Below are 13,952 nucleotides of genomic sequence, written 5' to 3' on the forward strand. Positions count from 1 at the left end.
TCAAATGAGAAAGAATCTCCAGTTTCATGCAAAGAAGATAGCTAAGGGATGAGGGGCCTTTGTTGACTAGAATCAATGTATTCTGAGTACAGGGGGTAGTAATTAATTTACTCTGTTGCCTCATGGGAAAGTTTCAGATGATGGTGTACTTATGGTCTAATTGAAAACGGATGTTAAAAATGTTATTTGCTTTTTAAAAATTATCTTTTAGGCTGGGCACAGTGGCTCACACCTGTAATCCCAGCACTTTGGGAGGCCGAGGTGGGTGGATCACTTGAGGTCAGGAGTTTGAGACCAGCCTGGCCAACGTGGCTAAACCTCATCTCTACTAAAAATACAAAAATTAGCCGGGCATGGTGGCATGTACCTGTAATCCCAGCTACTCGGGAGGCTGAGGCAGAGAGTCACTTAAACCCGGGAGGCAGAGGTTGCAGTGAGCCAAGATCACTCCACTGCACTGCAGCCTGTTCGATAAAGCAAGACGCTGTCTTGAAAAAAAAAAAATTAATCTCATTTATTAAAAACAAAATTGAATGCTTTTTCTCTAGTGCTACACTTCTGGATTAAGCGGTGCTAAGTAGCAAACAGGCTGCATTTAAAGTCTTTTAAATTGTCAGTGGTCTAGTTATTTTTCTTCCAAAAAGCTTGGAGCTCTCTTCTGTGTGTGGTTTTAAAGAAAACAAATCCCACTGGGGGGTATTTTAAGTCTGCCTTTAAAAGAGGGACTTGCTTGATTTGTACCCTGTGATATTCTTTTAGCTAGAAAATTCAGAAGAACATTCACAAACTAAAATTAATTTTTATCTTTTCTGTTCTTCACATGTACATATAATCGTATAAAAAACATTTTATATGACTGATTTTTTTTTTTTTTTACTTTGGCCGTTTCAGGTAACTGGGGAAGAAGCTAAACAAGAATCATTGGAGACTTCTAATCTTGTGCTTTCGGGTATTGGAAGTACACAAACTAATGGACCTTCTGTTCCTAGTGAAGAAGAAATTGTTCAGCCACTGGATAGCACAAGAGTGGCTTCTTACAGTGGCACTGTTACTCAAGCCACATTCACCAGGACTTACGATGGGCCTGGCAGTCAGCCAGTGATATGTCAGAGCTCTGTGTACGGCACCCTTGAAAACAAAGTGGATATTCTTGATGCAGCAGTGCAAACAAAAACAGGTACTTTACAGGACCTTATCCAACATGGCAGCCCCATAAACAATGAATGTCACCCTTCCTTGGAAAGAAAGGATGATAATATGGGGTGTGCAGTGATTAACCCGGAACCAATTACTCTCACCTTTGAAAAAAATGCACATGTACCAATACAGACAGAAGGTGTAAATACTGCTGATGAACGTACAACCTTTAAGAAGGAGTTGATTAAGCAAGTATCACCTGCTGCAAGCCTTAGACATCCTGTATCCACCTCGGAAAATGCACGAACACAAGGCCTGAGGGACATTCCCTCTCTAGTAGTTGCAGGACAGAAGGGCACTAAGTACCTTTGTGCCTCGTCAGTAGGTGGAGAGACACTTGATAAAGCAGTGTGTTCATTACAGAAGGAGACGCCCCTTCCAGTCTCTCTACCATCTGATAAAACAATGGTCATGGAGGCACTATCATTAGCTAAAAGTTCTAGTCATCTATCACCCAGTGAAGAAGTGAGATGCACTCAGGATTTCCTTTCACAGACTCAGAGTCTCCTCGGCCTATCTTCAGAAGGGCTTCTAGAACTGACACAGGTTGAAGTGGACTCATCATCAGCCTCTACCACCTTGGGAAGGCAGTGTTCACTTAACTGCATTTCGTCAGGATGCCACACATCAGGTGACTCTTTAGAACTAAGGAAGAATCACAAGAATGGTCCAAACACTGAAAATATGAATTTGGAAGCGTTTGATTCAGTATTTATCAAACAAACAAGCCTGTCTGTGAGTAGAGAGGTCAGCCTAGAGTTATCAGAGGAAGATTCTGACATTGACTTAGCTCTAACAATATCACCACCTACAAGTCCCAGAGAAGAAATGCCAGCTGGTGAAATAGAGCAATTTGAGGAGGCCCCATTCTCAAATTTAGAACTTCAGGATGTAGCTGAGGAAATAGGTGAACCGGAAGAGGTGGCTCTCACAGAAAGCAGAGAAGTGAGTTCTGCTGACAATGTGTCAGTATATCCCTCAGTGTCAGAAGAACCAGTAGAAAATAAGGAGAGAAAGGGGGATAATTTACAACCAGTTACTTTAATACTTTCTAAAGAAAATTGCACCCTTGAGATTGCAGAGGAAATTAATGTGACCTCTGATTTTCCCTTTGATTCTGTAATTGAAGAAGTATCACCAGCGTCTAGTCCTGAACCTCCAGTACCAGTTAAAGAGACACGACCATATCAGGCTGTGACTCCATGCATTTTAAAACTTCATGGTACACAGTGTGAGAAGAGCAACCAAATCTCCCAATGTGAGTCAGAAGACTTAGGCATAACAGAAAAAGAAAATGTTTTTGTTGGTCCTACCCATCCAGTGGGGCAAGATAACTTTACCCAGGTACAACAAATGCAGGTCTCTGCCGAAATGCCTCTAATATTAACTGATCATCCAGGAAGAACAGGTAGACCAACCCTTCCTGGTAAAGTAACTGAGGAAATTGTCTCAAGTGAGCATGATGAGGGTTTATCTTTCTCAGGAAAGGTGCAGTGCTATGGTAGGGAGTTAAACCAGCCTGCCTCAGCTGCCAAATGCACAGGTGACTTCAGTCCTTCTCCTGAAAAACTGGTAAAATCAGGAAATCCATTGCAGCCAGTTAGTATAGAGAATAGAAATTTGGACTTAAAACATCTTGTCTTGGAGTCCAGTGAACCTCCATTTGGTCCTAGAAATGTTATTGAAAATAAGTCTTTGTCTGACACATTGGTTTCCACAACTGCACCAAGTGGTATAGTGAATGTGTCAGTAAAACAGCAGACTAGCCCTAAAAGCAGTCAGAACCATCTCTTTCCCGGTGATTTGAAAACAGATGAAGGCATTTATCTGCAGGTGAAGTCCTTGACAGCTGCCTCGGTTGATGGAGCTTATTCTACACAGGGATGCATGTGCTCAGTGGTCCCCACGCTTTGTTCTTCCTCAGACAATGCTACATTAACCCATTATGTAAGACCAATAAATGCAGAGCCAGTGTTTCAAGCACAGGAAATACCAGCAGGCAGAATGGCCAGTTTGCTTAAGAATGGTGAGCCTGAAGCTGAGTTACATAAAGAAACCACAGGTCCAGGCACTGCTGGCCCTCAGTCCAACACCACATCTTCTCTAAAAGGTGAACGCAAAGCCATCCACACGCTGCAAGATGTGTCAACATGTGAAACAAAGGAGCTATTGAATGTCGGGGTTTCCTCCCTTTGTGCTGGTCCCTACCAAAATACAGCAGACACCAAGGAAAACCTCAGTAAAGAGCCTTTGGCCTCCTTTGTTTCAGAATCCTTTGATACTTCTGTTTGTGGAATAGCCACAGAGCACGTAGAAATTGAGAACAGTGGGGAGGGGCTCAGGGCTGAGGCTGGTTCTGAAACCCTAGGCAGAGATGGAGAGGTCGGTGTGAATTCCGACATGCACTATGAACTCTCTGGAGATTCTGATCTAGACCTGCTTGGTGATTGTAGAAATCCCAGACTGGATTTGGAGGATTCTTATACTTTAAGAGGTAGTTACACCAGGAAAAAAGATGTTCCCACAGATGGCTATGAGTCGTCGTTGAACTTCCACAACAACAACCAAGAGGACTGGGGCTGCTCTAGCTGGGTTCCAGGCATGGAGACGAGCCTCCCTCCCGGGCACTGGACTGCTGCGGTAAAGAAAGAAGAGAAGTGTGTGCCGCCTTACGTCCAAATCCGAGATCTCCACGGGATCCTCAGGACTTACGCCAACTTCTCTATAACAAAAGAACTCAAAGATACCATGAGAACTTCACACGGCCTGAGGAGGCACCCGAGTTTCAGTGCAAACTGTGGCCTGCCCAGCTCCTGGACAAGCACTTGGCAGGTGGCAGACGACCTCACCCAGAACACTTTAGACCTGGAGTATCTGCGTTTTGCACATAAACTAAAACAGACCATAAAGAATGGGGATTCTCAGCATTCTGCCTCCTCTGCCAATGTCTTTCCAAAGGAGTCACCAACCCAGATCTCCATTGGTGCTTTCCCTTCGACAAAAATCTCTGAGGCCCCATTTCTGCATCCTGCACCTAGGAGCAGAAGCCCCCTTCTGGTAACAGTTGTGGAGTCAGATCCCAGACCACAGGGGCAGCCCAGGAGAGGCTACACAGCCAGCAGTCTGGACAGCTCTTCCTCTTGGAGAGAGAGATGTAGTCATAATAGAGATCTTAGAAATTCTCAAAGAAATCACACTGTTTCATTCCACCTCAACAAACTGAAATACAACAGTACTGTGAAGGAATCTCGGAATGATATTTCACTTATTCTCAATGAGTATGCTGAATTCAACAAGGTGATGAAGAATAGCAACCAATTCATTTTCCAAGACAAAGAGCTAAATGATGTTTCTGGAGAAGCCACTGCTCAAGAGATGTATCTGCCTTTCCCAGGACGGTCAGCCTCCTATGAAGACATAATCATAGACGTGTGCACCAATTTGCACGTCAAACTAAGAAGTGTTGTGAAAGAGGCTTGTAAAAGTACCTTCCTGTTCTACCTTGTCGAAACAGAAGACAAATCATTCTTTGTAAGAACAAAGGTAAAGTGCCAGCCACGTCTTACGTATTATTTTAATTGCTGATTTTAGTTTTAGAAATAATAAATTTAGCATATTAGCCATCAAAAAGAAATCATGGTATGACATAGTATTTAAATTTCACAGCTTAGTCTTTATCTGCATACTAAATGTTTTCCTGCAGGATCTGCCATTTGTACTATATTTGAAAATTAGTATTATGTTCCAGAATTAGGGCAATGACTAATTTTTTTTCACAAAAAGTTACCAGTGTAGACATGCCCATACTTCAAGTGTAAATACAAACACATTCCGATGTTAAAATACAGATTTTTTGAAAAGTGGTTGTAGATTGTCCGTTAGTGTGGGTGGTCAAGTAGGACCTCTTTTGGTTTTGGATATATTTTTAATTTGAATTTGAATGTTAGGATAACTGATGTTACGGTGAGTACATGGAGTACATAGTCCTTAAATTTAAGTAATGGAACCATGGTGAAATTCTGGCATGGGCGGAGCCTGTCTTGATTGAACCTGTCTTGATTCACCATTAACTTCATTGTTTTATCCTCCCAGAATTTATTTCTCTTCTATTTCGGGCATAGACAGTATTTTTAAAAATTTAATTGTTTTTAATTTCAAATTTACATAAAGGTTGCAGAAATAGTACCCTTTACCCAGATACCCCAATATTAACATTTCTGAACCATTTGCAAATGTGTTGCACACACAGTGTCCCATTACCTCTTGATACTTAAATGTGTATTACCTGAGTTCAAGGATCCTCATCTTTTTAACCACAGAACAACCCTGTGCATCAGGAAGTTCATATAATATTAATTAAAGTGACCATCTCCATTAACCTCATCTAGGTCTAGGATCATAGGTGTCTAGAATTGTCATGTCTTCAGTCTGCAATAGTTCCTCTGTTATTCCTTGTCTTTTATGACCTTAACAGTTTTGAAGACTGTAGGCCAGTTATTTGGTGGAATTTCCTTCCGTTTGTGTTCATGTGTTGTTTCTCCATGACTTAGGCATTTTAGATGAGAATACTCAGATATCATGTAGTGCTCTTGTCAGTGCATTCATTGTATCAGGAGGCACCCGATGTTGATTTATCCCCTTACTGGTATATTAACCTTTTCACTTGGTTAAGATGATTTCTGCCAGGTTTCTCCAGTGTAAAGTTATGTTGAACTTAGTAATAAGTTGGGAGCTAACTTGAGACTGTGTAAAATCCTATTCCTTATCAGACTTTTATCCACTAGATTTAACATCGACTGGTGATTCTTATCTGAATCAGTTATTACTATGATGATTGCCAAATAGTGATACTGAAATTCCACCAGATTCCTTCTGCATTTATTAGTTGGTATTCGGCTGTAGAATAGAGCTTTCCCTTATTTTCCATTCATCTATTCATTTGCTTATCTGTATCACTATGGACCATGGCACATTTTGTTTTACTTAAAGGGTTATCATCTGTTTCTTCATTATTTTAATACTTAGATTGTCCCAGACCCAGCCAGTGGGAGTCCCTTTAAGTTGGCTTCTGTGTCCTTTTGACAATTCGCCATAATTCTTCGGGCACTTCTTTACTTTGGGGTGTAACATAATGTTCCAGGCTTATCGTGTATTTTCCTTGCCCTAGTCTTGAAGTCAAGCATTTCTCCAAGGAGCTGTGACTCTTTAGTGAAGAATGGCATTTAGAACCACCATCTAGGCACTGCGTGAATGAACTCAGTGTCACTTGGTGTCTTTGCTTCTAGGTCCTCTCAGCACATAAAGCCAAGAAATATACATATGTACATACGTATATCTACATCTCTATTTATGTATAAAAAGCAAAAACAGAGGAGTTCACACTCATCCCCAATTCTAGTCCAGTACTGCCAGGTTTGTGCTAGCCTCCTTCTCCATGTGTGGAGCTCCCTTCTCTGAGGTTGACTCTGTTTATCCTCAGTGTTTTGACTTATTGTCCCTCCCAAGTCCCCCTCCCCCATCCTCCTCCCAACCCCAGGTATAATGAGACCCCTCACTGAGGCACTAATCCTGACCTCCCGAAACTCCCTGACCTGAGCGCGGGCCAGCTGCCCTCCCCCTACCCTTGCAGCAGAAAGCTCCATTCAGATGTCAGCAGTCCTGTTTAGTATCTACCTCAGAGCCCCAACATGTGCAGGTGGGGGGGATGTTGCTTTTTTGTCATGATTCTTATAGTCTAATGGGACAAGGAAAACACTGATTAAAAGAGTCACACAAATAAATGTGAAATGAAAGTGATGGTAAATGTGACGCAGGTGCCACGAGGACGCATTGAGGGTGATTGGCCTGGCCGGGGAGGTCTTTGCTCAGGAAGTGCTGCAGCACAGAAAGCAGAGCATAGGGGCCTGCAGGCCGCGTGCAAAACTGGACGTGCCGTGTGTCGGTTCCACACATGAGGGGCCTGCAGGCCACGTGCAGGCCGTGTGTCGGCTCCACATGCCCACTGGGTCTGTCTCAGACTTCACTTACATCACTTCTGCTGATTTCCTGCGCTAACTCCAGAATGTCACGTGGCGAGTCCATGGGGGCTGGATTACTGAGTAACGAGTTACTTAGTAATGAAGGACACGTGTCCCTTATTGTCACAGTGTCCCCTGGGTGCAGGGTCACAAGACCACTTCTCATCTGGAGTACTAAGGCCACTGCAGAAACCACAGAGCTGCATAAAGATTTCTTGGTCTGCCCTGCTCTTCTCATATGGAGGTGTGTAGCTGGCAAACACCACAGGGAACAGCCTCCTTGTGCCAGAGGGCTGGTCAGAGTGAGTGAGCCATGTCAGCCAGAGGCTCAGGCTGGGCTGTGGGAGAGAACAGCCTCACGCCTCATATGGCAGTGGCAGGGCCTTAAGTCACACTGAGCTATTTAGACTTCATCCTGAGGTCGCTGGGAGCCACTGGAAAGGTTCTGTTAGGTTTTTTCCTCCTAACCACTAGACCGCCAGAGATGAAGTTTTCTAAAAGATGTTTTTAAAGGTTTTTTTTTCAAGTGAAGCAGGCGGAGTAGGGAAGGATTTTTTAAATTCTTTAAAAACTGGTTGTGATTTGTTGTAAAAGATCCTTTAAGAAAGAAGTAGCATCATATTTGCATTTTAGGACGATATCTTAGCGGATGGAGAAGAGATTGGAAAAATGACAGTCACTGCCTTAACGTGAAACTCCATTGTTGCTAGAGTCACAGCTCTGTTCTGCAAGGTGGCTCCTATTTTGAGTCAACTAACTATGACTGTAAATGTTTTCTTCAAACTTGTGGAAGCTGCTCTTTAGCCTAATTGTATTCTTTTTCCCTGGCTGAGGATCCTTTTGTTTGCCAAGGTTTGTTTGTTTGTTTGTTTGTTTTTTGAGACAGAGTCTCGCTCTGTCACCCAGACTGGAGTGCAGTGGCGCGATCTCGGCTCACTGCAAGCTCTGTCTCCCGCATTCACACCATTCTCCTGCCTCTGCCTCCGGAGTAGCTGGGACTACAGGCGCCCGCCACCATGCCCAGCTAATTTTTTTGTGTTTTTTAGTAGAGATGGAGTTTCACCGTGTTAGGATGGTCTCAATCTCCTGACCTTGTGATCCGCCTACCTTGGCCTCCCAAAGTGCTGGGATTACAGGCATGAGCCACTCCGCCCAGCCTGTTTGCCGAGATTCTTAATGAATGGTTGCCGGATTTGGTTTTATATTCCCTCTGTTGTCTTTGCTCCAAGTTCCTTGCCATTTCGGTAAGCAGCACTGTAGTTGAAAAGTTATTGAATGGTCTTCACTCTCTTCAGTCTTTGGGAAGGCCCTCAGCCTCCAAAAGCAATCTGGAAATCAGTTTAGTTTTTTTCTTTTACCTTGAATTCAGGTTAATTTTATTTGATTAATTATACATCCTCTACCCTGACATGAGATAGAGTGACTCTAGAATCAACCAAGTCAGCATCTTGGTCACGTACACGTTTTGGCACAGTGAGCAAAATACTTGGTTTCTTTCAGCTTCCATCTTCTCAAAAAGCAACAGAGGGTGCAGTGCTCATGCCTGTAATCCCAGCACTTTGGGAGGCCGAGGCAGGTGGATCACCTGAAGTCAGGAGTTGGAGACCAGCCTAGCCAATATAGTGAAACCCCGTCTCTACTAAAAATAAAAAAATTAGCCGGGTGTGGCGGCGCGCGCTTGTGGTACTCGGGAGGCTAAGGCAGGAGAATCACTTGAACCCAGGATGTGGAGGTTGTAGTAAGCCACTGTGCTCCCAGCCTGCCCGACAGAGTGAGACTCCACAACAGAGCAGTAATCTTAGTTCTCACTTCCTTTCCAGATGAAGTGATAATGATTTTCATGAAGAAGAGAGCATGGCAATGCTAAGTTTTATTCATAGCAGAAGTACTTTTTTTTTTTTAATTGAGATGAAGTTTTGCTCTTGTCGCCCAGGCTGGAGTGCAGTGGCGCGATCTCAGCTCACTGCAGCCTCCGTCTTCTGGTTTCAAGTGATTCTCCTGCCTCACCTTCTCGAATAGCTGGGATTACAGGTGCGTGCCACCATGCCTGGCTAATTTTTGTATTTTTAGTAGAGATGGGGTTTCACCATGTTGGCCAGGCTGGTCTCGAACTCCATAGCAGGAGTTCTTCTAGATATCTTGCTTGTTTCTATAGTGAATGTATTGTTTCATAATATTTTATCACGTGGTGTCACTGTTTACAACAGAAAATAACAAATGTGCAAAGGTAAAACTACTTGTCAACTGAGAAAGTGGACACGGCCGGGCGCGGTGGCTCACGCCTGTAATCCCAGCACTTTGGGAGGCCGAGGTGGGCGGATCACAAGGTCAGGAGATTGAGACCTTCCTGGCTAACACCGTGAAACCCCATCTCTACTAAAAATACAAAAAGAAATTAGCTGGGCGTGGTGGCGGGTGCCTGTAGTCCCAGCTACTCGGGAGGCTGAGGCAGGAGAATGGCGTGAACCCGGGAGGCAGAGCTTGCAGTGAGCCGAGATCGCGCCACTGCACTCCAGCCTGGGCAACAGAGCAAGACTCTTGTCTCAAAAAAAAAAAAAAAAAAAAAAGAGAAATCTGAGGGTGTGACAGAATAGGTCAGACCACCACAGGATTTGATGAAAATGTATTCATTCAAATAATTTGTTAGTCAAATAAATGAAGACTAGAGATTTATGCCTAGATATTTCAGTAAGCTCTTCGTTAAATCTCATAAGAATTTTTTTGAAAATCATACCATATACTTTGAATGAATTGAAATAGTCAGAATTTGAGTTGTTTAAAGATCCAAGGGAGCCACACAGTGGCTCTCGCCTGTAATCCCAGCACTTTGGGAGGCCAAGGCAGGCGGATCGCTTGAAGTCAGGAGTTTGAGACCAGCCTGGCCAACATGGTGAAACCCCATCTCTACTAAAAATGACAAAAATAAGCCAGGCGTGGTGGCGGGCACCTGTAATCCCAGCTACTAGGGAGGCTCAGGGAGGTGAATCACTTGAACCCAGGAGGCAGGGGTTGCAGTGAGCCGAGATTTCACCACTGCACTCCAGCCTGGGTGACAGAGTAAGACAACATCTCAAAAAAAAAAGATCCAAGGGAAACAGATCAAAGTAACACTTCACTTTTATGAAGGAAATAAGTGATGGTCAGGCAGTCTTCTGGGCATAACAGAAACCCAGAATCCTTCAGCCAGATAGTCAATGTCAAGGCCAGGTGCCACGGTTCATGCCCGGAATCCTAGTACTTTGGGAGGCTGAGGTAAGAGAACTGCTTGAGACTAGCTTGGGCAACACTGCTTGAGGCCAGCCTGAGCAACATAGACCTCCATTTCTACCAAAAAGAAAAAAAAAGCCGGGCCCAGTGATGTGCACCTGTAGCCCTAGCTACCTGGGAGGCTGAGGTAGGAGGATTGCTTGAGCCCGGGAGGTCAAAGCTGCAGTGAGCTATGTTCGTTTCACTTTACTGCAGCCTGGGTGACAGAGTGAGACCATGTCTCAAAAAAAAAAGCAAAGAAATGTCAAAGTCATAGGGAGTGTAGGATTATAGAATTTATTTAATTACACAAATTTACCCTCCCAGTCAGGATGATTAGGGAGCCATTCTGTGTGTTGATTGTACTGGGCTGCACTGCAGTGGCACCGTACAATCGCATGCTGTTTCAACTGCATCACCTGTCTTATTCTGAGACGTAGACCCAAGGGACTGCTGACTCCAAAATCAGTCCCCTTTAATGGTAAAGAAATACATGGGTATTGTTTTTTAAAGCTCTAGAAATGCTTTAACTACAGGTAGCATTTTTAAAGTATATATCTGGTATTCTCAAGGTAGCTCATGCCTTGAAGCAGATGAAACTCATTTATGTAGATTATTCTGATGTTCTAAAAGAAAATCAGCCTTTGATACTTTATTTACCTTTGAAATCAACTTCTAAGTCCAGTTGTTAACAATACCTGATTCATTTATTTTATATATAAAAGGTGCTTATTTAGTAATAAGACAAATTGTCATTTATGGTTGCCTTATTAGACTATACTGCTTTTCATTATTTTAATAAACTATACAGGTAGTTCTGTGGAAGTACCCTTTTTTTAATAATGGCTATTTGTAAATCTTTCAGAACCTTCTGAGGAAAGGAGGCCATACAGAAATTGAACCTCAGCACTTCTGTCAAGCTTTCCACAGAGAGAATGATACACTAATCATCATCATCAGAAATGAAGATATATCATCACATTTGCATCAGGTCGGTTGGAAATACCTTACAAAGAAACGTATTCCAGGCACATAAGTTGTTCTGTAATGCTCAGACTCATCCCTCTTTTTTTATGTAGAAGAGAAGCTAACAGACATTACTGTTGGGCCTTTAAGTGGGAAGATGGTGTATTATAGAATACTGCAATATTACCAAGTTATTTGTAGGGCAGATGGTTAAAAAAATCATATTAACTAAGGGAGACTTAGGTGAGAGGTTGCTAAATTTTTTCATCTGAGATATAAATCTGCATCACTTGATGTCTAACAATAAGAAATCTTGCCTTAAAAGACCTTTTGGAAATTTTCTGAACCATTATATTTACCAGCTAGTTGAATCAAAGTAATTGCTTGTCTCAAGAAGACCCAACTACGGACAAAGGCTGGGTGCATAAACCTGCCGTCATCAGCAGGCAGTCGTCGGTGCTGGCACCAAGGGGAGCTGGAGACGAATGACGGCGAAGTGAGGTGACCTCACTTTTCAGTGCCCACAACCTCAGATGTGTCCTCTTCCCTCATGACGTGTTATTTCCAACCTTTGGGAGTTTGAGACCTTTTTTTAATGAACTAATTTTGTTGAGTTTGCAGCCCCTGGTGATGATGAGCTCAGTTAATATGCCTCATGCAGGGCAGAATGACCAGTCGGTAATCCAGGTTGAAATATTTTCAGTTGTTCCTGAACCTTGACTCTCTTGGATAGAAAAGCAAGGGAGTGTCTAAGAAAATGTGCCCAGTGAGCCTCTCTTCACCGGGGTCCTTTTTGTGTCATGCAGATTCCTTCTTTGCTGAAGCTGAAGCATTTCCCCAGTGTCATCTTTGCTGGAGTAGACAGCCCTGGAGATGTTCTTGATCACACCTACCAAGAACTGTTTCGTGCAGGAGGCTTTGTGATATCAGATGACAAGATACTAGAAGCTGTAACATTAGGTTGGTCTTTATTTTCTTTTCCTGTTTCTTTGAAGTCAGATCAACTTCTCACCCAGTGACCTAAATACTGTTTCATCCAAAAGAAATGATCAACTCTAAGGAATATCAGTTGCCCCCTACTGAGGCATAATTTCTGCTGTCTGCTGTGCTCTTTTCATACAGTGATTCTCTTATAGCAATGCTTTTCACCTCTTTTAACTGATTCTTACCACCACACTTGCTTCTGAGTTCCCTCCCTCTCGGTAGTGCAGCTAAGCTCCTAGTAACACAAATTCAGGATTTTATTATATTTAGTCTCTTCACTTGCCAAGTCAGAGCAGCTCCATATTAAATTGTTTGCTTAAAGTCAACCTTCTCCATTTCTGATGTCAACACCCCTACCATCTTGATGTCACAAAAATCTAAAAAATGGCTACTAAGTCAGCTTATTTAATCATCTACTTGAAAACTCATACTTTACTTCTCTCAGGGCACTTTTATGTATAAAACCTGCCCCGGCTCTGATCACATTGGAAGTGATACCACTTCTAGATCAAAAGCAGCATGTACCTTAACCAGTGTGACTTCTACACAGAACCTGGGATTTTAAATATTTGTAGGCACACGTCTGTAATCCCAACACTTTGGGAGGCCAAGGCAGGAGGATCCCTGGAGATCAGGAGTTCAAGACCAGCCTGGGCAACATAGTGAGATCCCATCTCTACAAAAAATAAAAATACTAGCCAGCTGTGGTAGTGTGTGCCTGTAGTCCCAGCTAAGGAGACTAAGGATGGAGGATTACTTGAGCCCAGGAGGTTGAGGCTATAGTGAGCTGAGATCATGCCACCACACTCCAGCCTGGGTGACAGCCGAAACCCTGTCTCAAAAAAAAAGGATTCTGTATTTAGAAACTTCATTTCTCTACTGCATCGGGGCCTCCTGCTTCTCTTCTGTCACACAATTTGTACACAGAACTCTAGTTGCTGGTGACCACTCCACTGTGTTCGTGTCTACAGAGTTATCTCCCACCATAGTGTGAGCAGGTGGGACCAGGCTGAGGGGCTTGTGAGAGCAGGATGCTGCCCAACCACATAAGTGACAGTGATGGTGTGTACTCAACCATGGGTCTTAGTCTGTTTTTTTCTTGTTTTACAAATAATTATCACTGGGCTTGGCATGAGCCAAAAGTACCTTAAACTTGTCATCTTCTTTTGCTACATTTATTGTTTTGTAGTTCAACTGAAGGAAATTATCAAAATCCTGGAAAAACTAAATGGAAATGGAAGATGGAAGTGGTTGCTTCACTACAGGGAAAATAAAAAGCTAAAAGAAGATGAAAGGTAAGGACTTGCTGTGTGTATGGTTCCTCCTGCCCTGCTGGGGTAGCAGAGAAACGCCTCATGTTCCATGGGCTCTAGCCTAGTGCTGCAGTGGAATGGCCTTCATCAGTAAAGAGCATGAGGGCTGCTGGCTCTGTATTCAATGAAGGAAGCTATGTGCTGTGACCGTAGCCAACAGTATGAGGCATGTACTTATCTAGACTAACAGAAGTAAGGGAGTCAAACTTAGCAGTCATGAAATGTCCAT

At 43.2% G+C, this 13,952-nt stretch overlaps 1 protein-coding gene across 5 annotated transcripts in view, besides 2 other annotated features; it reads left to right on the forward strand.

Moving 5' to 3' along the window:
- The window catches only part of TASOR2 (transcription activation suppressor family member 2), a 78,903-nt gene that overhangs the window by 60,450 nt on the left and 4,501 nt on the right, over positions 1-13,952 (forward strand). For all 5 annotated transcript variants that reach the window (NM_001321783.2, NM_001321785.2, NM_001321784.2 and 2 more), the window contains 4 exons: positions 892-4,740; positions 11,326-11,451; positions 12,233-12,386; positions 13,600-13,705. In NM_001321783.2, the coding sequence (NP_001308712.2) occupies positions 892-4,740; positions 11,326-11,451; positions 12,233-12,386; positions 13,600-13,705 (4,235 nt within the window). The remainder of the gene's footprint in view (positions 1-891; positions 4,741-11,325; positions 11,452-12,232; positions 12,387-13,599; positions 13,706-13,952) is intronic.
- Positions 3,229-3,523: a silencer, noted in NCBI's record as "tiled region #2494; K562 Repressive non-DNase unmatched - State 17:Gen3'". NCBI's record gives its function as "represses a minimal TATA promoter and a strong SV40 promoter by Sharpr-MPRA in K562 cells {active_cell/tissue: K562}" and the evidence as "EXISTENCE:reporter gene assay evidence [ECO:0000049][PMID:27701403]".
- Positions 6,594-7,208: an enhancer, noted in NCBI's record as "H3K27ac-H3K4me1 hESC enhancer chr10:5793844-5794458 (GRCh37/hg19 assembly coordinates)". NCBI's record gives its function as "activates a minimal SCP1, AML or CMV promoter by ChIP-STARR-seq in naive H9 embryonic stem cells {active_cell/tissue: H9 hESC(naive)}" and the evidence as "EXISTENCE:reporter gene assay evidence [ECO:0000049][PMID:30033119]".

The sequence above is a fragment of the Homo sapiens genome, chromosome 10 (genome assembly GCF_000001405.40).
Source record: "Homo sapiens chromosome 10, GRCh38.p14 Primary Assembly".
In the NCBI taxonomy this organism is placed as follows: domain Eukaryota; kingdom Metazoa; phylum Chordata; class Mammalia; order Primates; family Hominidae; genus Homo; species Homo sapiens.